Source organism: Homo sapiens, chromosome 1 (assembly GCF_000001405.40).
Source record: "Homo sapiens chromosome 1, GRCh38.p14 Primary Assembly".
Taxonomy (NCBI): Eukaryota; Metazoa; Chordata; class Mammalia; order Primates; family Hominidae; genus Homo; species Homo sapiens.
This window is the reverse complement of record NC_000001.11, coordinates 145,600,092-145,624,326: the sequence shown is the minus strand read 5'-3', so window position 1 is coordinate 145,624,326 and position 24,235 is coordinate 145,600,092. Positions and strand designations below refer to the sequence as shown.

Below are 24,235 nucleotides of genomic sequence, written 5' to 3'. Positions count from 1 at the left end.
AATTTCTTGTTTTAAAATAAACTTTTTTTGTTAGAGGGGAGACACCGATTCTTGGAAAGCTTTTCTTTATCTACTAATTGTGGGTGTTTTATGTCACCTTTCCTCAAATACATATGCTTCCCTAATGTATCTTTATCATCACTTAAGCAGTGGCCGTTTACCTTTTGGGTCACAGACCCAAATCTGCTACCCAAATCTGATAAAAGTTTATTGATACCTTACCTCCAAATACACATACAAATATATTCCTGTAGTTCCATATACAATATGAGTTAGACACCGTTCTCTTTCCTTATACCCTTTAAGTATATTCAGTAAATGAAGGTCAAAAATTCCTACTCTAGAATGACAGAAGTGAGGTCCAAAACCAGCATTAGTTATCTCTTAGAATGAAGGAGAAAATGTGGTTCAAAATCAGACATTTTTCAGAGAAATAGCTTGCTATCCTCCTCAATCAGAAAAATTTTTTTCCAAATCCCAAGAACCTGTGAATTAATAAATTATTTCCCCAAATACATTTTTTCCCCAAGAAATTTAATTAATTGTTTTTGAAATCAGAAAATTAAACAAATCGTCTCCCCCCACTTCCTCTGCCCTCCTATATATACTCACCATGTTTTGGGCTGAGAATGGGAAAGGGATCTCCTAGTTTCCAGAAGAAATACATAAAGGTCAGCCATAAGAGACAGGAAAAAAGCAGTCGTTGTTTATGCACTGAGACAGAGGAGACAAAACTGTTAGGAAAAACAGATATAGGTTAAAGAGCTTGCTCTATTTAAAAATATAAGATAATGCTAACTAATATTTGGCTGCTAATTCACTTGGCAAATGACTGATGAACAGCATAATTTTTAGTGAAAGCATCCTTACCATCGTAAGAGAAATTTAGCTGAATTTAAGGTGTGGGATGAACTAAAGGAGACATTATTAATAGGTAGAAAAATAAAGCTGTGGCAGAACAAATAACCTAATCATTCATTCAATATTTATTTTGTGCCAATTCATTCAATATTTATTTTATATTTATTTTTAAGATGTTGTGTGTGAGGTATCCTCAAATAGCGGTAGATACTGAAAGTTAATGTAGAAATGAAGCTATCCACAATTTAAGTCCCCTCAAATACTCATCTCAATCTATATGCTGACTGAGAGGGTAAAATACTTACGTAGTCGGATATTGCTCACAATAAAATAGCCAATGTAAAAAGGCACCATGAAAACCAGGATCAGCAGAATTACACACAGGTTCATTTTCCAGTGAAAATAACGGGAGCTGAAATAAATGTCAAAGACTGTCACTGGGAGGAAGAGAGGGCAGCAACTTTCTTTCTCTTTAGTCTTCCAAAGGGTCCTTTTGCTCTTTGGACTCAATATTGAATATATCCTATCTAATCAGCCTACTAGGCTCTTAAAATCTACTCATTTGTAGAGATTAAAAAATACAAATTTTTGAAAGGTATATATGACCATCTTAACATCTTAAGAATTTCATATATTAAAATAAGAATGTTTATGTTTTTGATATATTCATAGGCAACATATACCATTAACATGTATCAACATATGCCATTGCTGGTAGAATGACTATTGTTTTACCCACCCCTAGGAATCTCATTCCAATGTAAGAATTAAAGGAAAATAAATGTTAACAGTAATATATGTTATACTCAAAAATATTTCTTTTGTACTCTTGATATAAACACCTGATTTGCATGAATTACTTTTATTAGTTTATAAGATGTACTTCATTTATTAAAACTTTTTGTTAGCACTTTTTATAACAGTTTTAATGAGATATAATTTACCCATTTAAAGTGTACAATTCAATGGTTTTTGTATACTCAAGAGTTGTGCAACCATCACCTAAATCAATTTTAGAACATTTTCATTACGCCATAAAGAAACCCTGTACCCATTAGCAGTCACTCCCTGTTTCTCCCCAATCTCCTCAGCTCTAGGAAACCACCAATATACTTTCTGTTTCTAGGAAACCACCAATATGTAATCTTTTGTGACTGGCTTCTTTTACTTACCATAATGTTTGCAAGGTTCATCCATGTTGTAGTATCTATCAATAATTCCTTTTATGGTTGAACAATATTCATCCCATTATATGGATATATTATATTTTGTTTCTGCATTCATTAATTGAGGACATTTGGGTTGTTTTTAGCTATTATAAATAGAGACGCTAGGAATGTGTGTGTATACATTCTGGTGTGGACGTATGTTTTCATTTCTCTTTAGGTAGAAATGGAGTGGAATTGTTGGGTCATATGATAAATCTATATTTAATCTTTTAGGCACTCCCACTGTTTCCCAATGTGGCTGCATCATTTTACATTTTCCTCAGGAGTGTATGAGAGTTCCAGTTTCTCCTCAGCCTCGCCAACACTTGTTATTTTCTGTTTTTTTTTTGGTTATAGCCATTTTAGTTGGTGTGAAGTGGTATCTCATTGTGGTTTTGATTTGCATTTCCTTGATGGCTAATGGTATTGGGCATCTATTCATATGTGCTTACTGGCCATTTGTATATCATCTCTGGAGAAATGCCTATTCAGATCCTTTATTCATTTTTTAATTGTATTATATGATTAAACTATAAGAATTCTTTATATATTCTAGATACGAGTCCCAGTCCATTATCAGATAGGTAATTTATAAAAATTTTCTCTTGTTTTTGGAATGTTGGTTCACTTTCTTGATGGTGTCCTTTGTATTTACTGATTTTAAACTTACTTAAGCCTTGTTTCAAAAAAGGCCTAAGTGGTTAAATGGCTTACAAAGATAAATAAAATACAGGATGATGAAATGAACTATAAGGAAATATGAACAACAATGGTAACAGGTAAAATATTGGGCCAAGCCTGATGGCTATTATAAAACAGAATTCTAGAAAGTTGCTATGGGTAGGTCATAAATTTAGCTTTAAGTTTTCTAATGGTCAATGTGAAATAAAAAATTTGATCAGTTAGATAAAATCATCATGTCTGTAAGAAAATAAAAATTAATTCCTCAAAGGAAGCATAATTATCATTTATTGTTACTGAATTATTAACAAGATTACAATGAAATTTCTTCAAAGATTTCATAAAGAAAATGCAAAGGCAATTAACAGTGTCATCAACAACATCCTTTCAAGAGAAATATGTTTCAGAGGGCTGTTTCTTATTGTTCCTTCCTTAGTACAGATGGCAGGCATCACGAAACAAAGAGCCATTCAGTAAAAGCTACCCTACAGGGAGTGAATACCATTTAGACTAGATACATTGACAGCTTTTTGCTCCTCTAGGTTAACAACTACTTTAGAACATTTAGAGAAAGAAACAAGCTGGACATCCTCCAGGCAATACTACATAGTATTTCAGCTAAGCTTCTGAAAGATTTTGGGAAGCAGTGGGTTTGAAATAACAAGTGCAACTTTAATTGGCAGTATGGACTGCCTATTAAAAGTGAACCACATGTTTTAACTAGTCTTTTGAGCTGAGAGTAAAGTGATATTCTCTTGAAAAAACTAAGCATCCCAACAAGATTACATATTTGAATAGGAAGTCATATGATCTCTGCTCAAAGGTGAGTCAAAGGAATATTCTGGCCAAGATTCTCTTTTCAAAACGATTCTGAGTCCAGTCAATGGACAGTTATACATCATCAAGGTTCATATTTGTGTTCCATAATTGGGTGAAACATTAGCATGAAAAAACAGGTATAACTGAAGATATGTCTCAGACCCAATCCTCTATATAGCACACAAAGAAAAACCAGATTTTAGCAATGCTACTTCTTATCCTCTTTAACTAATTAAGAAATTTAGGAAACATACACCATAGTATGACAGATGTTTCTTACTATACGGGTTATTAACTATAAGTTAAAAGTTGGGGGACATCATCTACCAAAAACAGTAAATATAGCTTTAGAATATCTGAATCCTCTGTATCAATATTTAGATGAGTAGCTGGCAAACTATGGCCTCACAGCCACCTGCTTTTACAAATTAAGTTTATTGGAGCATGGCCATGCTCGTTTGTTTATATATTGCCTATGACTGTTTTCTCTCTACAACAGCAGAGCTGAGTACTTGTGATAGAAACCTTCTGGTCCACAGAAACCTAAAATATTTATTATCTGGCCCTTTACAGAAGAAAGCCTGCCAACCCCTGCTTAAATAGCAGTGAAAGATGCAGGTTGTGATAATAAAATTTAATAACCATTATGTAAAATAATACCTGTCTATTCTCTATAGTCACAGGATCTATATCTAGCTCATCCAAGAAAAGGTTTGGATTATTTTTTATTTATTTATTTTTTTGAGATGGAGTCTTGCTCTGTCGCCCAGGCTGGAGTGCAGTGGCACAATCTCGGCTCACTGCAAGCTCTGCCTCCTGGGTTCAGGCCATTCTCCTGCCTCAGCCCCCCAAGTAGCTGGGACTACAGGCGCCCACCACCACGCCCAGCTAATTTTTTGTATTTTTAGTAGAGACGGGGTTTCACCATGTTAGCCAGGATGGTCTTGATCTCCTGACCTCGTGATCCGCCTGCCTTGGCCTCCCAAAGTGCTGGGATTACAGGCGTGAGCCACCGTGCCCGGCCAAGGTTTGGATTATTAAAGTTTAAAAGCAGGAGAATCAGAAAACACTTCTATTTTACCATAATACATGTTATTCATTGTTCTATCAAGAGACCATTATTATCAACTCTGATTCTCTCTCTCTCACTCTTTTTTTTAAGAGATGGGGTCTCATTGTCTTGTCCAGTGATCACAGCTCACTGCATATCCTCAAACTCCTGGGCTCAAGGGATCCTCCTGCTTCAGCCTCCAGGGTAGCTGGCACTACAGACGTGTACTACCACACTCTGCTAATTTTTTTTATTTTTTTGTAGAGACAGGGTCTCACTTTGTTGCCCAGGCTCGTCTTGAACCCCTGCACTTAAGTGATCCTCCTGCCTCAGCCTCCCAAAGTGCTAGGATTATAGGCGTGAGCCACTATGTCTGGCCCCTCTCTCTTCTTTTTTTTTTTTTAACCTTTCAATGTTTTGTGATTAACCATCTGTATAGTAAGTTTTTCTTTTTAATTTAAATTTCGTTTTCAACTCTGATTATCAAAGGATTTGAGAGTATAGTCTCTCTACAAGTCTCAAGTGCCAGGGGTCTATAATGAACTTACCTTGGCACTGAATCCTAACTTTAGAGTGAAAGACTGCTTTACTCCTAAAAGGTTTTTCCAGGTGGTGATAAAAAAGCACAACAAAGTCTGCATAGCATAGTTGATGAACCCTACATATAAATGCTGGCCTAAAAACATACTCAAGCTTGCAGATTAACAAGCAAGAAATATTTTGAATAGACTGTCTAATAAACTAACAAGTCTATTATTTGGAGGGGAGTAAAGAGTTATTTTTAAAAAGTGTTTTAAGAAACACTTTAAATTCAACCAAACTTGACCATGACTGTAAAATCAATAAAAATAACTAAGTTAAGTAAGAACTGGAGTTTCAGTCTTCAGAGAGATCATTAAAGTAGCTCTGAGGAATTCTAATCTTTTCAGGTAGAGATTTTCAATCAGCAGAACAATGTGAAGGGCTGTTACTGGGATTCAGTCAGCGAGCAGTCCTGGAAAAATAAAGCTTCTAGGAGTGAAGCCTAGACTGCAGCTTCACAGCCTCACTCCAATGAGTTCTTCAGAGTTAACGGTCAGATCTTTTGTTTCCTGGTATCTCATAATCTTTATCAAACCAGCTATTAGGTGGCTGTGACCCATATCTGTTGTGATCATTGCAGTTACTGAAACTGAACTATTAACACAGTGTTTTTTTTTTCAGTTATGAGATCCAATAGCTTTTCCACTGTAAAGAATGTAGCACAGAACTCTTCAAGAGGAGTTTTCAGTACTCTTACTCACCTGCTATTCAATACTCCTAAGATTTCAAAGATGATGAGCTCAAACATGGTGCAAGAAAATGCAAACGTCACGGAGAAGATCACCTGTACAACATACTGACGTATCTGTTAAAAGCCAAACAGAGACTAGAAGTTATTTCCTTGTTTAAAAACTGAACTGATAACCTCCTTCTGGTTACAAGTCAGAAAACTTATTTTGAGGAAATTCTCAAGTCATTGGAAGTAGGGCCACAACAGCAACTTGCCTGGAGCTAAAGAAAAAGATCAATATAGGTGGCACTTCTGAATCTTGAGTCACTATTACCAGCATCCTCCTGTGGATGAAGAATTTTGAGGACAAGAAGATGAAGTGACAGGGTCATAGGTAGCACTTAGAATTCCTGATGCATACTGACAAAAAACTGACAGATTCGTACATAATGGTTAATGTTTAAAGGGGTTCTTCAACACTCTGCAGATCCTGGATCAGTTCTGGAACCTTCCTCGGGAGGTCTTAAAGTATTGGGCAGAAGAAAATCTCCAGAATCCCAGGCTCTTTCAGACAATAAACTCCCTGGGAAAGTTTAATGGAGAATATCCTAGAAATGACCCAAATGTAGACTATAACCACTGATCTTATTACTAATTAGGAGAACTAACTAGGAAATGTCGAGTCTAGGGTGGTGATCTTCTGAATCCAAAGCTTAAGATAAAAACAACACCAGCCTTGTGTTGCGGGAAGTCAGGGACCCCGAATGGAGGGACTGGCTGAAGCCGCAGCAGAAGAACATAAATTGTTTCATGGACATTTATTAGTTCCCAAAATTAATACTTTTATAATTTCTTACACCTGTCTTTACTGCAATCTCTGAACATAAATTGTGAAGATTTCATGGACATTTATTAGTTCCCCAAATTAATACTTTTTAAATTTCTTATGACTGTCTTACTTTAATCTCTTAATCCCGTCATCTTTGTAAACTGAGGATGTATGTCACCTCAGTACCCTGTGATGATTGCGTTAACTGTACAAATTGTTTGAAAAACATGTGTGTTTGAACAATATGAAATTAGTGCACCCTGAAAAAGAACAGAATAACAGCAATTTTCAGGGAACACGGAAAGATAACCATAAGGTCTGACTGCTTGCGGGGTTGGGCAGAATAGAGTCATACTCTTCTTCTTGCAGAAAGCGAGTAGGAGAAATACTGCTGAATTCTTTTTCCAGCAAGGAATAACCCTGGGGAAGGAATGCATTCTGGGAGAGAGGTCTATGAATGGCCGCTCTGGGAGTGTCTGTCTTATGCGGTTGAGATAGGACTAAAATACACCCTGGTCTCCTACAGTGCCCTCAGACTTACTAGGATTGGGAAATTCCAGCCTGGTAAATTCTAGTCAGACTGGTTGTCTGCTCTTGAACCCTATTTCCTGTTAAAATGTTTATAAAGACAATGTGTGCACAGTGGGACACAGACCCTCATCAGTAATTCTAATTTTTGCCTCTGCTTTGTGATTTTACTGCCCTTTGCAGCATGTGATCTCTGTGACCCACTCCCTATTCGTACACTCCCTCCCCTTTTGAAATCCCTAATAAAAACTTGCTGGTTTTGTGGCTCGGAGTCACCATCACGGTCCTACCAATATGTGATGGCACTCCTGGAGGCCCAGCTGTAAAATTTCTCTCTTTGTACTCTTTCTCTTTATTTCTCAGACCGGCCGACACTTAAGGAAAACAGAAAGAACCTATGTTGAAATATTGGGGACTGGTTCCCCTGATAGCCTTGGGATTTTGGTATTAACTTATAATATAAGGTTTGCAATTCAGGGCCAGATAGACAAATGAAAGGGAACATTTGTGAGACATTATGAATTAAATTCTCTCCTACAGAATAACTATTTGCTATTGGTACATATCCTGATATGACTAAGACATAATCCTTGCTCCTAACTTCTGGGCTATATTTGATTTGCCTTTTTTCCCCCCTTTTAAATCAATTAAGTCTACTTATATTCTGCAATCTAATAGTTATATAGTACTTATTTGGTAAAAGCTTCCTATCTTGGAAATGAACATAATGTTTCTTTAATGGAGACATTTTTCTTGTCAATCTAAATCATATAGTGTAAGTATGACAAAATGATTTCTTCTCACCTCATAGTCTTTAAACAATTGGCGCATGAAGAAAAGCCACCCAAATCCAAAAAATAGTATCTGGAGGAGAAAGAAAATAGAATGTCAATACATATTTTCTTTTGAGAAATGTTTTATAGAAACTCTTTTATGATAAAAGGTCTGCTAACTAGACGGTTAACTTATTTCAGGGATTAAAGATAAGATCCACTCTTATAAGACCTATTATTAAAGCTCATGACATTGGAAATAAATTTTTAAATGCCCTTGGAGTTTTGAAGTTATCCATGTTACAGAGTATGCTTTAAGACAAAAATGGAAGTACATATTTTGCCATAATCTTATGATAATCATTATATGAGCCAGAGAAGTTTGCAAATAGAAAAGGAGTCAGTGGCCAGGCACGGTGCCTCACACTTGTAATCCCAGCACTTTGGGAGGACAAGGTGGGCAGATCACCTGAAGCCAGGAGTTCAAGACCAGTCTGGCCAACATGGCAAAGCTCCGTCTCTACTGAAAATACAAAAATTAGCTGGGTGTGGGCACCTGTATTCCCAGCTACTCCAAAGGCTGAGGCATGAGAATCGCTTGAATCTGGGAGGCAGAGGTTGCAGAGAGCCAATATCGTGCCACTGCATTCCAGCCTGGGTGATAGAGTGAGACTAGGTCTCGAAAAAAAAGAAAAGGTGTCAGAGTGAGACTTGCTTCTTATGGATGATCCCTGATTGCAAGTATTTAAAAATAATACCAGCCTGGCCAACATGGTGAAAACCCGTCTCTACAAAAAACACACACACATAAAAATTAGCTGGGGGTGGTGGGGTGTGCCTGTAGTCCCAGCCACCTGGGAGGCTGAGGTGGGAAGATCACCTGAGCCTAGGAAGTTGAGGCTGCAGTGAGCCATGATTGCACCACTGCGCTCCAGCCTGGGCAACAGAGTGAGACCCTGTCTCAAAAAATAAATAAAAATAAATTAATTTAAAAAATAAAAACTTCAGGGGAGAGGAGTTGAGACCAAAATTAGAGGAGTAGTAGAAAGCCTAATATTTTTTATATCTGTTTCCTTCAGAGAGTTTTCTTAGCTTCTCCACCATCCTGCCTAATCTACATAAAAGTGGTTTTCATCTCAATGTAAAGCCGAGAGATTGCAGGATCCCTCTTTCGTCAGTTTTGTTTCAAACTGGCAGAGACCGTAGCCACATGACAGCTGATAAAGCTGGTCTGTAGTAAACAGAACTTTCTATACATACACACTGACACAACTACTCTTTTCTTCTTAAACTGGCTAGGACCTTTATGAATAAAATGATTTTATGTCTTTCTAGGGACTACTTTACTGAGCAAGTGTAAACTCAGTAGTTTAGCACAGACTACTTTAGCTTCTTATCATGCCCCTGCTGCCTAGCAAACTCATGTGTTCAGCCCCCTGGAACTTCTTTGGTTCTTTAGATCCATATTCTTTCACATCGAGACCTGTGTAGATGTCCTCTGAAAGGAACTTCTCTCTAGCCCTCTCCCAGTTATGCTATTTACTCCCCCTGGAAGGCCCTCTCTGCCCTCCCAAATGCAGATAAATTGCTTTTTATATAATCCTGTTTTACATTGTACTTCCCTCATCAAAGTGCTTACCATACAGTTTTGTAATGTGTGATTTAAATATTTTTTGACATTAGATTATAAGCTCTATGAGGACAAAAACCATGTTTGTCTTGTAATCTTTGTATCCTTGGCATCCAGCACAAAGCCTGGTACGTAGCAGGCTCTCCATAAGTGCTTGCTGAATGGCTAAGTGGTCTACATAAAAGATGGTTTATTCTTCAGCATTCAATCTTAAATTTTCTGTAATAACTCCTACGTGCTATGCTAAGTGCTGAGGATACAAAGATGAATAGGATGGTTACTACCCTCTAGGAGCTCACAATATAGTGAAGACAGTACATAAATAATTATAACATAATATGGATGTGCAATGATAGAAATACATACATGATATTGTAAAACAATATGAAAGAGGGAGACCAAACCAATCTGTAAGGGGTTAGGACAGATTTTCTGGAGAAGATAATGCCCGAGCCGAAGGAAGTTTTAATTTGGGGTTAAAACCTGATATTGTATGCACATTTTGGGGTTATGTGCATTTTTCTAGAGTGGTTTCAAGGTATTCATCACACAGTCAAAGGTTTCCACCACCCCTAACATAAAAACCATCCTCTCAAAGGATGAATAAGAATCAAGTAGGGAGGCTGGACATGGTGGCTCACGTCTGTAATCCCAGCACTTTGGGTAGATCGCTTGAGCCCAGGAGTTCGAGACCAGCTTGGGCAACGTGGTGAAACCCCATCTCTACAAAAAATACAAAAATTAGCTAGGTATGGTGGTGCGTGCCTGTAGTTCCAGCTTATGGGGAGGCTGAAGTGGAAGGGCCACTTGAGCCTGGCAGGTAGACGTTATAGTGAGCTGTGAGCATGTCACTGCATTCCAGCCTGGGTGACAGAGCGAAACCCTGTCTCAAAACAAAACAAACAAACAAAAAACGAATCAGGTAGGGTAAAAACAGGTGGTAGGGGTAGGAGGACAGGGCTTTCCAGATAGCAAAGGGCATGAGTAAAGGCGCAGAGTGAATAGCATGGTATATGCCGGGAACTACACATGGTTTGGTGCTGCTAGAAGATGAAATTCAAAGAAGGAAGAGGTTAAAAATGAGGCTAGACAGGAGGAGTGGATGTCCAATCACTGAGAGCTTTGAAGGCCACCCTAAGGAGCTTAGATTATAGTCTGTAGGTGATGAGGGTTATTTAAGCAGGGAAATGGCATGGTCTGATTTGTTTTATATTATATAGAGCGGTATGGTGGCTGTATGGAAGACACACTTGAAGGAAACAACAGTGTAGAAAGAGAAACATTATAGAAATGTGTTATGGGAATTCAGATGAAAGATGATAAAGCCCTGAATTAAGACATTTGGTGACAGAAGAGGAGAAAACAGATTTGAGAACTATTTAGAAGGTAAAATCAACAGGGAGAAGTCAAGGATGACTAGTTTGGAATACAGGATGAAGAGTGAAGCTACCCAATTTATATAAAGAATACTGGAGAAAGAAGAGGTTTAGGAAAGGGGGCAGAGGATGGGGAAAATGATGAGCTCATTTTTGAACACACTAAGGGCCTGAGGGACAGCCAGCAAGATGGATCAAGATATCCAGCAAGTATCTGGAATAAAAGACAGATTGTGAAGGCAGGTCTAAGATATACCTATGAGTTGAAACCACCAAAGTACATGAGATCACCTGGGAATAGTATCTAGAGTAAGGAGAGCAATGTGCCAAGAAGAAAACACTAGAGGATAAGGAAAACAATTTTGAATAGTGAGGTAGAGGCAGGAACCAGAGTGTAGCAGGTCAGAATGAATGGGAGCTAAAGCAGTGGGGACAGTAAATGCAAATTACTCTAGGGAGAGCCAGGAATGAGAAAAAAAGAAAACATTAGATAATAGGCTAGAGAAGAATGTGGAATAAAGGGAAAGTTTATTGGCCAAGGGGAAAGAAAGCAGTCAAGTAAGGAGAAAAAGATGAGAAGGATGGTGGAATACTAGAGGATAAACTGATAATACTATTATTAATATGATTAGGTAACTTTTATTGAGCATTTACTATACTACAGGCTCTCTAAGTAGTACTTAGCATTATAATCTTATAAAAATAATTAAAAACTCAGTACAGTGGTTTGATTATCCTATTTTCACGGAGAAAGATGAGGTTTAGAGAAGTTAATCAATTTATAGTAAGTGTCAGAATCAAGATTGAACTCAAGCTTGTTTGACTCCAAAATCTGTGCTTTTTTTTAAATATTATTTTTTCAGCTCTTATTGAGTCTGTCTGTTTAGAAAATCTGTGCTTTTAACCACTTCAAAATACGCTACTCTAAGATCAAAGGTAGGTAGAATGGCTTTAAACCGGAGTAGGGGAACCCCGTTTTCTGAAATGGGAGGAAAGGAGGTAAGAATGGTTGTGAACACAGATAACCTTTTAGATTAAAATGCAGAAAGTATTCATAGTAGGAGATCATACCTTTTGGCTTCACTTTTGTTGAGTAAGTACGAGGCAAGGTTATCTGCTAAGAGTAAGAGAGGTGAGTTAGAAAAAGGAGCTTTGAGGAGAGTGACAAAGATTCGGAGAAACTTTGAGGGGAATGAAACAAGTAGCTGATTAAGGTCAAGAAAAGGAATAATTCAGTGAGCTGAGGGTTAAACTCCTGGCGTTGGCAAACTACACAGCTATGTGATTTTCTATAGTAGCCTTCAGGCCTCTGTATTAGTAGTAAACAAACTATAGCAGTGATCCAAGTGTGGACTTATATATACATGAAGGTAAACGAACAAGAGGGTGTAAGAAAGTAAGTTGGATCCAAGCATCTAGATCAAGCAGAAAAGGAAAGGGTCAAACAGATTAGGAGAAAATGTCCAGGATATCCTTTGGCTATTATAAATATTTACCGGTGGAGACAGATGTAAATTCAGAGTTTAGAGACCATATTTATATGACTTATGAAGCCACGACTGAAGACAGAGAAGTTGGGCAGTTAGGACTGAGGGTGGTATGTATAGTGGAAATGGATGATTAAAAAAAAAATCACCAAGATTGCTATGAAATGGAAGAGAAAACAAGCAAAAATTTTAAGTTTATATGGTGGGGAGGGGAATGGAAGAAAAGAGAAACAGATATATACCTTTAATATTTCATTGTGGCCTCCTTTCACATTGAAAAAGAAAAGCTTAAAAAGACTTTCAGAACAAAATTATGTCCTTTGCAGCAACATAGATGCAGCTAGAGGCCATCATCCTAAGCAAATTAATGCAAGAACAGAAAACCAAATACCACATGTTCTCACTTCTAAGTGGGAGCTAAATATTGGGTACTCACCAACATAAAGATGGCAAAAACAGAAACTGGAGACTACTTGGGGGCAGGGGAGGGGAGAAGGGGGAAGGGTTGAAAAACTAATTATTGAGTACTATGCTCAGTACCTGGGTGACCGGATCATTTGTACCCCAAACCTGAGCTCCCACAATATACCCGGCACAAGTACCAAATCTAAAATAAAATAAAAGTTGAAAAAAAAAAAAAGACTTAAACTACACACACACACACACACACAAGTAGCTGGAGAATTCATTTACATCCAAGTAAACACAAATTCTGGCAAGATTATAGAGGATCCAAAAAGAAAGCAGAAGCAAAATGCAATTTCAAATAGCTTTGCAAATAAAATGGAAGGCGTATAGCTTCTTATTAAAAATGAGACTTGATACTTTCAGAATTGTACAGAGTCTTGACCTTAGGACTTAAGAGTGTACTCTGGAACTGATAAGTCTTATGACGGTATAGAGGGCTCAAAACATGAGTTAGTTAACAGTTGCTTTTAAAAAAGTGACTTCTGGGTTGAAAATTAGCTACTGTTAAAAAAAAAAGATGGCCATCAGCAGGACAGTTATTAAAGAATTAACTATAAAAGACACCTTTCTTGGATCATTTATTCACCCTTTTAATCATTTAACAAATATTTATTAGTGCCTAATATGTGCCAGGTCCAAGGGATAGAATGGCAAATGAGAGCATGAATGCTACTCTCAAGGAGTTTATAATCTATGGAGGAGATAAACAAGTAATTACCAAACAATGTGGTAGTGTTGTTACAGGGGAAGTAGGTGAAGGGTACTATGGCAGTAGGTATAGGGACATCTAGTCCAGTCTAGGGGAAGCTTCTTGGATGTTCAACTTGAGATCTGAAGGCTTAAAGAAGGGGAGGGATATGAGGAAAAGGCCCAGAAAGAGAAAACACACTGTGTGGAAATCTGGAGGCACCATAGCATCGCCAGGTTAGGGAACTAAAAGAAGTTCAGGAAGTCTAAAGAATAAATTGGAGCCACAGCTGAAGAGAGAAGAGCCAGGGTCCCATCAATAAGGGACCTGAAAAGCCATGTAAAGGAGTTTGAACTTCATCCTGTGCCGTGGTGAGCAAGATTGAATACGTGACCTCTGATTTCAGATTTCATTTCAAATAAACCTTTCAGTTAATACAAAACAGAAAAAATGAGCAGGGAGGGGCGCAGGGGGCAATGGTGGTGTTTCCAAGGTAACCACACCTCTCTAGAGAGGTGCTTTTTATTAAACAAATATTCACTACAACTCTACTATGTGCCCGCAACTGATCTAGATGCTGGTGAATACAGGAGAGAACAAGACAGACAGTATCTTGGACCTCATGGACAGATAACAAACACATGAATATACAAATGAACCATAGTAATAAATGCCAAGAAGAAAATAAAACATGGAAATGAGGAAGAAGGCAGCCGAAATGGAAAGCTACTTTGGTTGTGGGCAGGGTGTCAGGTAAGACCTTCCTAAAGCGACATTTTTATTAATACCGAAAGGATGATAAAGTAGCCACATAAATATCTGAACAGAGAACATTCCATGCAAAGGAATCTTTGGGTCTTTCTTCCACATTTGTAAAAACCAGGTTTAACAATTAATTACTGCATGTGGATGCATGTGTGAAGTGAAAGTCTATGATTATAAGGCATACAAAATTAGAAAGCCACTTCCTCGGTTCAACGTATCAATTATATCCATGCTAAAAATCGTAGAGGCTGCAATGCAAAGCCAATTTTCTACTGACATTCTTATCTTTATTCTAAATGAAAAGAAAAGCTAATTAAATATTGTTATTTTTCTTAAATTGGTACTAAGGCTAAAAATAACCCTGAGTTGTCACCAAGGGCACTGGGTAGTCTTAGAAAGGTTTTAAGCAGAAGAGTTACATGTCTAGGTTTTTTTACATTAATACATTTGAATATTATGCAGCCAATAAAAACAATACTTATGAAAACTATAGAAAAGGTGGTAAATTTTAAAAATGAAAAAACTATTGCATTAGAGTGGTAGGATTATGGATGGCTTTTCCTTCTTTCTTATTTTCTTAAATATTGTAAACAAGTTTTTGAAGAGAAAAGGACAATGCTCCGCTCTACGGAGACGAGTATTAGGATGAAGCAATACAAAAACGGAATCAAAGAACACAAATTTAGTTCACTTTAAGCCCCCAAAGGTAACTGCTTCTGTTATTTGCCGTTTGAGAGAAAGAACAAGTAAAAACAACCACACACACACAAAATCTTTATTGGAAAGATGGGGGGAAGAAGGTCAACAGGCAGTCTGAGCTTCACAAATATTGGCCAACAATTATTTATTGAATGCCTGCACTTGGAAGTGGGGATACAGCTATGAACAAGGCAGGATCTCAAAAAACAAAATCAGAAACACAGACATAAATGATGCCAGTGCTATGATGAATGCTAGGAAGAAACAATAATTAACAATAGATTACATGGTAAAAGCAAGAGGCTAACTAGACGAAACTTCTATTGAGCAGAGACAGTGTCTTACATGTTTTTACGCTCAGAGCTTTATATAATGGTCGATAAATGTTTGTTGACTGTACAAACAAATGAAGGTGGCCAATGGAGAAGAAATGAGGGTCAGAAAAACATCCGGAAAAGGTGGGTAACTAAGCAGAGGATAAAGGACGAGGTGTCAGTGCAAAAACGAAACCTTATACTTTCAAGCACAGGTATTACCTTATACTGATACTTTGAAGCAGCAAATTTCTCCACACCCGGATTCAGGATTTGACATCTAACAGCAAAGCCTGCACTGACGTGTCCTCAGTATCCAGTATTGGCGCGTCGCACACCGCGCGCCCAGAACCACACAGGCTTCCCCAGTCCAGGATCAGTTGGCGCAGCCCGGAAGCTTCGAGGAGCTCCTAGAACCGCCGCCTTAGCTGGCGGCGCCGGCTCTTAGCCTGGAGGTCGGCGGACCGCTTCCAAAAGTGGACCGAAATTCCGGGGATGGATGCCGGGTGGGGACGCGGACGGCCGCAGGCCAGTCTCCTGACAGCCGGGGCTGAGGGAACCGGCCGCAGCAAATCGCACACCCTCTCTGGGTGCCAGAGTGACTAGCGCAGGACGCGTAAGAGAGGAGCGAGACCCCGGACCAGCCCGCACCGCGGAGGACCGGAGAGGGCGATTCGGTAAAGGGAGGCGGACGGGTGTCGGGGCGGGAGGCGGTGACTCACCTGGGAGGTAATCATGATGCTGGAGTCGATGAGGAAACTCATGGCGAAGTGTAAGGAAGGCTCCTGCCTCCACTTCCCACTCCCCGAGGCCACAGCACGCTGGGGCCACAGGCCCCCTCACACGGTCTGCCTTCTCCCAGGTGCTGCAGCCGGGACTGCGGCTCTCCAGCCCGACGCCATCAAGCTGCGCCCCAGTCAGCCAATCAGCGTCTACATCCACAGCCCCGCCTCGGGCTCGGGGTGGGTGGGGCGGACGCTAGGCTCCCGCCGCGGAGGCCCCAGGGGCGGGGCTTATTAGGGGCGGTGCTAAAAGCAGCAATGCAAGGTAGCGTTAACGTTTCTGAGGCTGAAGGAGGTAGGGCCTGAGAGCTAAGTGGTAATTCTGTTTTGTAATGATCCTAAGATAATAATGGTAATTATAGTAAGTCGGGCATTGTGTCCTAAATGTTATAACTTTTACTTGACTCGGCAAATATGACTGTACAAAGTGAGGGAAGACTGGAAAGTCAGATGAGATATGAACAAATATAACTAACCAAATACATTTCTGTGACAACAATGAAAAGCACACTGTCTGTAGCAATTTAGTGATAATATTGTACTGCATATCAGTCAGGCCACAGGTGGAGTACTGCACTCCATGTACCACACTTTGAAGAGATTTTACAGGCCGGGCCGGCTCACGCCTGTAATCCCAGCACCTGGGGAGACCAAGGCGGGCGGATCACCTGAGGTCGCAAGTTCAAAACCAGCCTGACAAGCATGGAGAAACCCTGTCTCTACTAAAAATACAAAATTAGCCGGGCGTGGTGGTGCATGCCTGTAATCCCAACTACTAGGGAGGCTGAGGCAGGAGAATCGCTTGAACCCGGGAGGGGAGGTTGCGGTGAGCCGAGATCGCGCCATTGCACTCCAGCCTGGGCAACAAGAGCGAAACTCCATCTCAAAAAAAAAAAAAAAGAAAAGAAAAAAGAAGAGAGAGATTCTACAGAGACATATTGGAGCTCGCTCAAATGTGAGCCACCAGATAAGGGCTGCTGGAAGGAGGCGAAGAAAGATGACTCAGAACATGACATCTGTCTTCATGTGAAAGAATGGGTAGAACTGATGTGGCGCTACGAATTATCTGTAGGGCAAAGGACTGGAAGTTAAATGAAGATAGATTTTAATTCAAAACAAGGATCAGTTCTTTAAGAGTCTGAAGAAGGGTTATTTTAGGAAGTAGCTGCCTCTGCCCCCTTCCCACCTATTGCAGTGGATCAAATATACACTGAATCACTACCTCATTCATTCAACACTCATTTCATGAAGGCTTAACGCATTGCTGTGGGGCTTACTCTGCCGCCGACCTGGGGCCTAGCTAGGCTTTGTAGTCTATATAGTCTCATAGTCCTGCAAACTGGCTCCAGCCCAGGAAATCACCCTGTGTAGGAGTGGCTGCAGTCAAGACGCAGGAAGACAATCCTGAGGGGACCTGACATCCAGCATCTGAGTTCAGACTACTATAGTTTGAATAAGTGATCTGCAGATTCATTATACACAAGGGAACATGTCTTCCTTTTGTTGGATTGAACTCTGTGATACCAAGCAGTCAAAACTACCTGTCAGATGTCCAATCCCTGATCCAGAATTTCAAGGAGCTATGGAGGCAGCTGTACAATGGGAGTGTCATAAACCAGAGAACTTTGTGTCCAGGCTATATCTATTAGGTAAGCAGGTAGATTCCCACATAACAGCACCTAACTGACATTCAAGAGTGTGTAGAGTGCAGAGTGCTGAAAGAGACTATCAAGGCAAGCAGTTTACCTTGGTGGCTTACTGGGGTGCACAGTGGGGATCAGAATATCAGTAACGAGGAATAGCAGAGAAAGGTGTGCAATACCTGCTGGCCTAAGGCCTATGCAAAGCTTTGGGTGACACTATTCAGAATGCTCCCTACTGTACCACTTGTGTCCAGGTAAAGGACAGGCCTAGGTGATTCAAGCGACTGCTTTATCCCCTGATTTTGATTGAGGAATGTCTTTAGAAACCTTCGCACTGCATTTAGTATCCAATTGACTCTCCTTTCAAAGCAAGTCTGTACTGCTGGTGGTGGACTCTGACACTAAAATGGCTTGTCCTCCCATCTCTACTGCTGGTAATATTCTCCCGATCCACTCTAGCTGCTGCCATCCTCTTAGAATAGTGGGATCTTTTGGTTCTGCCTCCATGGACAGTCACACCATCTGGGCTCTGAGTCCCCAGTTTGTGCTTTTTCCAAGGGAGCTTTTCAAAATATGTCATGTTCATAACTAGTAGCCATTGTTTGCCACTCATCCAGAGATTGACAGCCAGTCCCATAGATGTGCTACAAAGAGTCAACTGACAAGATGATCAGTCTGTGTCCTTTGGATGAGTGTTTGCTCACACCACTTTACTGTCCTTTTTCATAGCAACTGCAGTGTTCATACCTACGGTACTCTCACACTTCCCAGCACCATCCACATACTGACAGCTAACTACTTCATCCCCTTCCTCCAAATTAATGCAAAGGACTGGGCCCAGGAGTTGACACTAACATTAGATCCCTGGGAAACACCCTAGTACTTCTTCTCCGTGCACTTACATAGCACCTGCCCATGCCAGTGGCTGGATGATCTCTGTTAGGGATTTTCTTTTGAAACTTTTTACTTATTATGACATAGTTGTAGATTCACATGCAGTTGTAAGTCTGGGATCGTTTGAGACATATGGTATCACCAATTCCGTGGCATCCTACTCCCGCTGTCTCCCTTCATGGATAGACAACCTATCTTGTAGTTTTGCCCACTGTGCCAGGTTCACTGAGTCTCTGAACTCCCCTGTGTGCCCCACTAAGTCACCAGTGTAAGCTGGACAGGAAACCCCAAGTATTCAGAGGAAAAGTGTTTATTTCCCAATGGTCCCATGGACAGTATCTATACTTGATACCTAGAAAATATATAAGTGCAGTTTTCTCAAAGTGTGGTTCTCTCATGACTTGGGGAGCTTATTTAAAATGTAGATTCATAAGTCCTAATGTAGACCAGTGGACTTGGGATTTCTGAAAGTGACTCCCAGGAGGAATCTAGGAGTCAATTAATTAATAAATAAAAATTATATATATTTATCATGCATAAAATGATATCTTGAAATATGTATACATTGTGGAATGGCTAAAGCAAGGTAATTAGCATATATATTACTTCAGATATTTATTTTTGTGGTGAGAATACTTAAAATCTACTCTCAGAGATTTTCAAAAATGCAATACATTTTTATTAGTTACAGTCACCATATTGTACAATAGATCTCTTGAACTTATTCCTCTTATCTAACTGAAATTTTGTATCCTTTGACCAACATCTCTCCAACCCCACCCGACTATCCCCCACCAGCCCCTGGTAATCACCACTCTACTCTCTGCTTTTGTGAGTTCAATTTTTTTTTAAGAAGGAATCTGCATTTGTAACGGCATCCCAGGAGATTCTTATGCATACTGACTGGGGACTGGTTGTGAGACTCTGCTCCCCATCTCAAAACTTTCCTAGAGTGAGTTAGCACCTTCACACTAGGAAAATGCCAGCTCCGATTTGTCTAGAGAAAGGGGACTGAGGGCCAGAGTGGTGCTAGCTTTGCTCTTTGCTTTTTTCCACTCCCGCACCCTTTCTCTAGATATGCTCACTCTATAGCCTCAGGAAGCCTAAAGATCTTTTCCAACCACTTGCGCTTTGGCTCAAGAATTCCCCTTCATCTTCCTTGAGTCTACTTTGAACCTCTTCCCTAGTTGGTTCTCACTTTTCCAGACCTTCTTGGAGGTGCATTCCAGTCCTTTCCTCTTATACAATCTCATTTTGGATATATTGACCTTGGTGCTGACTTGGTATGCACCGCCTTGTCCAGGGCCTTGACTGGTTCATATGAGTTAGAGTCAGCTCTGTATCAAGTGCTTGGTTGTTCTTGAGGTCGTGTTCCTGAGGAAAGAAGATTAAATAGTTGTGTGGTTTTATGCAAGTTACTAAACTCTCTGTACTTCAGTTTCCTCATCTAAAAAATAGAGATAGTAATAGTATCTTATCTCATAAGGTTATTATGAAGATTAAGTAATATACATAAAGCCCTCAGGAAAATAAGCACTTTATAGTAAGTATGCAACAATTTTTACCCATTATTATTATTATTATGAGTTTACATTCAGTTTTCCTTCATCATTAGTTTCAATGTATATTTATTTATTAATATTTATAAATGTATATTTAAAAGTTTTGGTTGTCAATTATTCAAATTATACTGAAAAGACTGATGATCGTAGAGCTCTCAAATTTGGAAAGATTCAGTGGCATTATTTGAAATATATAACACCAACTTTTTCCATTTATTAAAACTAATTTTGGGATTCTCTGTTGATATAATTATCATGCAGAATGAATTTGATCCATATATTTTGTGAACAAAGGGGAAGAATATGTAGAGATTAAATTTAAAATGGAATATATTAGTTGAAGTTCAAAGTAAAGGATGTTCATATTCTTATTGTATGAACTGTTCCAAACTTCTGGTCCCCTGCCGTCTGTGCTCAGGCAGAGCAGAAAGCTCTCCCTACTGCCCCACCACTTCTTGCTCCAGGACTGACCTCTTCTTGGGATAACTACCAGCAGGGACATTTGCTTATTTTAAAGAAGTCCCCATCTTTACCACTGGATTGAGATTTGCCACCGTAATGTTAAGACAGTTGCAAAGGAGTACAACACTGGCATATTTCCAAAGTCTGGGATATTCATTCTTATTCTTGGTTAACGTGATGCATACCCACACGAACGCACATATACCTTTTGATTTTCCCAAAATTGGATCACAATTTTGGATTCCCAAAATTGGAGGAGTGCTATGGACTCCTAGTGATCCAATATTGAAAAAATGGATCCTGTTTGTGTACCCGCAAAATGCATATGTTGAAGCCCTGGTTCCCGATGTGATAGTATTTGGAGGAGGGCCTTTGGGAGCTGATTAGATTTAGACGAGGTCATGAGAGTGAAGCCCCATGATGGGATTTGTGCCCTTCCAAGGAGATGAAGGAACCAGCACGCTCTCTTTCTGACAGGTGAGTATATGGTGAGAAGGCAGCTGTCTGTGAACCAGAAGGAGGGCCCTCACCAAGAAGTGACCATGCTGGCACCCTGATCTTGGACTTCTGGCATCTGGAACTGTGAGAAATAAATGGCTGTTAAATATATACACCTACTATGCACCCACAAAACTTAAGAATAAAAAATTTTAAAAACTTTGTTGTTTAAGCCACCTAATGTTGGGTATCTTGTTATAATAGCATGAACTAAGACAATGAGTATACTATGTTGTTATATATTTTTCATTATATTTCATTTTAGAAATATTTTATGGGGCTGGGCATGGTGGCTCACGCCTATAGTCCCGGCACTTTGGGAGGCCAAGATGGGCGGATCACTTCAGGTCAGGAGTTTGAGACCAGCCTGGCCAACATGGTGAAACCCCGTCTCTACTAAAAATACAAAAATTAGCTGGGCATGGTGGCACATGCCTGTAATCCCACCTACTCAGGAAGCTGAGGCAGGAGAATCACTTGAACCTGGGAGGCGGAGGTTGCAGTGAGCTGAGATTGTGCCACCACACTCCAGCCTGGGTGACAGAGTGAGACTTCATCTCAAAAAAAAAAAAAAAAAAAAGAAATATATTATAGTATTATAGGCCAGGCATGGTGGCTAAAACTTGTAATCCCAGCACTTTGGGAGTCCGAGGTGAGAGGATCACTTGAGCCCAGGAGTTTGAGACCAACCTGGGTTACATTGGGAGATCCTGTCTCTACCAAAAAAAAAAAAAAAATTAGCCAGGCATGGTGGTGCGCACCTGTAATCCCAGCTACTCTGGAGGCTGAAGTGTGGGGATTGCTTGAGCCTAGGAGGTTGAGGCTGTAAGAATCTGTGATTGTACCACCGCATTCCAGCCTGGGCAACAGAGTGAGACCCTGTCTCAAAAAAATGTATATTATGAATATTTTCTTGTGCCAAATACTTTATAACATTTTTATTGACTCAATAACATTCCATCATATGGTTATGTCATTTGTAACTTAACCAATCTACCTTTTGGATTTTTTTTTTAGTGGTGTTTACTATAATAATATGATGGTGAAGAATTTGGCCCACAAGAAACACTTATTCAAGCCTACAATTTTCCCTGGGCAAGGGAAGGTCACCGTGTCTATGTCCCAGCAAATTCTGAAGACACACATCAAGCTCCTGCAAGCTTGGCTACTGTGGCAGCCAGAGGTGAGCCTGTGAACTTCTGCAGACTAATAGGCCACTAATGACTAGTGAGAAAGAGGTCAGGCCTCCCTCCCAGCAAGTGCTTCCCAGAAAGTCTCAGAGGTTTTCCTTGAGCCCCTCACTTGGAGGGGAATGAGAGAAGGGGATGAGAAACACCACAGCTCTTTCTTCTAGTCTGACAACTCTCTTCAAAGACTGCTCCTATCAGTTAACCCTTATCTTTCTCTTAAATAACCCAGAGGTGGATTGTGAGCTAGGAGTTGCAAGACCATTTAGGGGCTACTTTTTTTTTTTAAGGAATTCTAGATTGTGCTTTGTACCACTTTTTAGAAAGTGTAGACATTGAGCATTTATTGTCCTTGGTTATGTAGCCTTACTGAAACTCCAAGACATAGGAAATATTTTGTTTAACATTTCATTACATATCCATTAAATCAGACTTGTAAATTACATTTAGGTCCTCTCTATTTTTGTCTTCTATCAATTCGTCAAGGACTGAAGTCTTTTATTGCTACTATTTTTCTGTCCATATCTCCATTTTTTCTGAGAGCTTCATACAGTCCAGTGCCTTATTTTTCAGTGCAAAATGATTCGTAGTGTGTCTTTGTTGCATATTATATTTTATATTAATAAAGACCAATATTTTGGTTTGGTTTAATGATTCTGCTCTTGTATTTTCTGTGTTTGGTCTTTATTTTTGCCTTTTTTCTGTTTTTTCTTCTTTTTGCTATATGGATTTTGTAGTCCTTGTTTCTTGTTTTGTTTCCTAGTAATCTGGAAGGCATGCATTTTGTTTTAAAATAACACACACAACTTTATATTTTTTTATTACTAACATAGAGAATAAAATAGTATCTTTGTACGTTGAGAATACCAGGACACTTCTACTTTCTCACATTTCTCCTTCTTTGTTACTCCCTTCACCCCACACAATACCCAAGTTTATGTTGGTGTAATCTGGGATTTTAAACCTTACTTTAAAAATATATTTTTGTTAAGGATTATTTATGATATTTGTATTCTGTGTTGTAACTATACTTAAAATAGTTACATTTAATTCATTTTATGCTTAAATGTCTTCAGTATTCATCATCAGCCTCTTTCATACTTTGCCTTTTTGATTTCTTTTTTTTTTTTTTTTTTTCCTGAGACAGCATCTCACTTTGCTGTTCAGGCTGGAGTGCAGTGGCATGATCACAGCTCACTATAGTTCCTGGGCTCAAGTGATCCTCCCACCTCAGCTTCTCAAGTAGCTGGGACTATAGGCGTGCGCCATCATGCCTGGCTAATTTTTAAATTTTCATAGGGACAGGGTCTCACAATGTGCCCAGGCTAGTCTCAAACTCCTGGGCTCAAGTGATCTTCCCACCTTTGCCTCTCAAAATGTTGAGATTACAGGTATAAGCCACTATGCCTGGCCTTGAATTCTTTTAAAAAATATTTCTCTTGGGTGGACGCGGTGGCTAATACCTGTAATCCCAGCAGTTTGGGAGGCTGAGGTGGGTGTCTCACCCGAGGTCAGGAGTTCGAGACCAGCCTGGCCAACATGGTGAAACCCTGTCTCTACTAATAATACAAAAATTAGCCAGGCATGGTGGCGCACGCCTCTAATCCCAGCTACTCGTGAGGCTGAGGCATGAGAATTGGTTGAACCTGGGAGGTGGTGGTTGAATGAGCCAAGATTGCACCATTGCATTCTAGCCTGGGCAACAAGAATGAAAGTCCATCTCAAAAAACAAAAAACAAAACAAAAAACAACAACAACAAAAAACAAAAAATATTTCT

General features: G+C 39.6%; 1 protein-coding gene and 1 pseudogene across 11 annotated transcripts in view, besides 2 other annotated features; one reads left to right on the top strand and one right to left on the bottom strand.

The window, feature by feature from the left end:
* The window catches only part of GPR89A (G protein-coupled receptor 89A), a 62,663-nt gene extending 46,324 nt beyond the window's left edge, over nt 1-16,339 (bottom strand). For 5 of the 10 annotated variants that reach the window (XR_007063066.1, NM_001097612.2, XM_006711492.5 and 2 more), the window contains exons 1-5: nt 16,152-16,339; nt 8,034-8,093; nt 5,904-6,007; nt 1,167-1,273; nt 613-714 (exon numbers count right to left, since the gene is read on the bottom strand). Coding sequence is in view for 8 of the 10 variants with exons in the window: in NM_001097612.2 (NP_001091081.1) it covers nt 613-714; nt 1,167-1,273; nt 5,904-6,007; nt 8,034-8,093; nt 16,152-16,193 (415 nt within the window). In the remaining 2 variants the exon portion in view is untranslated. Of the gene's footprint in view, nt 1-612; nt 735-1,166; nt 1,274-5,903; nt 6,008-8,033; nt 8,094-12,079; nt 12,126-15,651; nt 15,710-16,151 lie in introns of those variants that run through there. The other 5 variants (NM_001097613.3, XM_011509908.3, NR_036541.2 and 2 more) reach the window with 5 other exon arrangements.
* Nucleotides 16,022-16,071: a silencer, noted in NCBI's record as "silent region_1263". NCBI's record gives its function as "represses an Ori minimal core promoter by ATAC-STARR-seq in GM12878 lymphoblastoid cells {active_cell/tissue: GM12878}" and the evidence as "EXISTENCE:reporter gene assay evidence [ECO:0000049][PMID:35858748]".
* Nucleotides 16,412-16,541: a silencer, noted in NCBI's record as "silent region_1262". NCBI's record gives its function as "represses an Ori minimal core promoter by ATAC-STARR-seq in GM12878 lymphoblastoid cells {active_cell/tissue: GM12878}" and the evidence as "EXISTENCE:reporter gene assay evidence [ECO:0000049][PMID:35858748]".
* The window catches only part of NBPF25P (NBPF member 25, pseudogene), a 35,514-nt pseudogene continuing 27,747 nt past the window's right edge, over nt 16,469-24,235 (top strand). The window contains exons 1-2 of the transcript NR_104217.1: nt 16,469-16,506; nt 22,288-22,453. The product of NR_104217.1 is annotated as an NBPF member 25, pseudogene (transcript). The remainder of the gene's footprint in view (nt 16,507-22,287; nt 22,454-24,235) is intronic.